At 45.6% G+C, this 1,479-nt stretch overlaps 1 annotated feature.

The window, feature by feature from the left end:
* Nucleotides 637–1,252: an enhancer, noted in NCBI's record as "H3K27ac hESC enhancer chr3:94362039-94362654 (GRCh37/hg19 assembly coordinates)". NCBI's record gives its function as "activates a minimal SCP1, AML or CMV promoter by ChIP-STARR-seq in naive H9 embryonic stem cells {active_cell/tissue: H9 hESC(naive)}" and the evidence as "EXISTENCE:reporter gene assay evidence [ECO:0000049][PMID:30033119]".

Below are 1,479 nucleotides of genomic sequence, written 5' to 3'. Positions count from 1 at the left end.
TTTTAATATTGTTAGATGAAAAAATTCTAAATATATTGGAGAAATTTTATTGAAATCTAAATAATAATGTCTATTACTTTTTTTAAAAAATACAAATATATTTATACCTTACATTTATAAAAATGAATTCTAAGTAGAATTAAGTACTATATATAAAAACAGCTGTGACAATTAGAAGAAAATATCTTGTGACTTCAGATAAAAAAAGTATTCCTTAAAGTATTGGCATTCAGAAAATTTTTTTGATAGGGGTCATTATGGTGGATGGGTGGCAGAACTAGATTGCAGCTCCAGACAGAGCAGCGTGTAGAGGCTCGCATTGTGAATTTTAGCTCCAGATCGACTGCAAGAACAAATGAGCAATCCCAAGAGGACCCACAAATCCTCTGAAGGAAATGGACTGCTCCTGCAGGACCCAGGAGACACCCCAAATACTGTAGTGATCCAACTATGGAAGTGGGAAAGGGAGACCCCCCTCTCCTGAACACACACCCCCACTGGAGAAACTGAAGGCCTGTTTGCAGGAGAAGTTTTTGACTTTACCTGGAGCTCAGTCAATTTAGAGAGCTGAGCAAAATACAAGGGTAGAGGAGGCAGTAGAAAGGCCCTTGGGGTAAAACTCAACAGGGAGAAGGAAATCTCTTGCTGAACTTTTTAACAATTCAAAAGGTGCAAGAATCCTCCCGACCGGAACTCCGGGAAGGCACAATTCCAATGTGCAGATTCCACAGGTGAGGGGAGAACCAAGCCCTTTTCTTTTGCAGCTGGGAGGCTGATAGCCTGGAGAGAGTTTTCAAGCCCATCTTGCCCTCCTCCTGGAGACAGACTCAGGGCTGTGGTGGAGGGCACAGTGGGAATGAGACCAGCCCTTTGATTTGCATGGGAGCTGGGTGAGGCATGTGACACTTACCTTCACTTCTCTGACAACCTGCATGACTCAGCAGAGGCAGCCATAATCCTCCTAGGTACACAATTCCAATGACCTGGGAACATCACCCCCACTCCCAACAGCAGCCACAGCAAGACCCCCCCCTAAGGAGAGCCTGAGCTTGGACATACCTAGCCCTGCCCTCACCTGATGGGCCTTCCAATTTGCCCTGGTAGCTAAAGACAAAGGGCATATATTCTTGGGAATTTTAGAGCCTGGCCCACCACTGGTTCCTCTCCATACTACCACAGCTGAAGCTCTCCGGAAAGCAGCACCTCCTGGCAGGAGGCCAAGCAGCACAAAAATAGAATATTAAACCATCAAAGCTAAGAATTTTCACAGAGTCCATTTCACCCCCCTGCCACCTCCACCAGAAAAGACTCTGGTATCCACAGCTGAGAGATCCATAGATGGTTCATATCACAGGACTCTGTGCAGAGAATCCCCAGTACCAATCCAGAGCTGGGTAGACTTGCTGAGTGGCTAGACCCAGAAGAGAGACAACAATCACTGCAGTTTGGTTCGCAGGAAGCCACATCCATAGGAAAAGG

Source organism: Homo sapiens, chromosome 3 (genome assembly GCF_000001405.40).
Source record: "Homo sapiens chromosome 3, GRCh38.p14 Primary Assembly".
Classification (NCBI taxonomy): Eukaryota; Metazoa; Chordata; class Mammalia; order Primates; family Hominidae; genus Homo; species Homo sapiens.
This window is presented reverse-complemented; position numbering and strand designations above follow the sequence as displayed.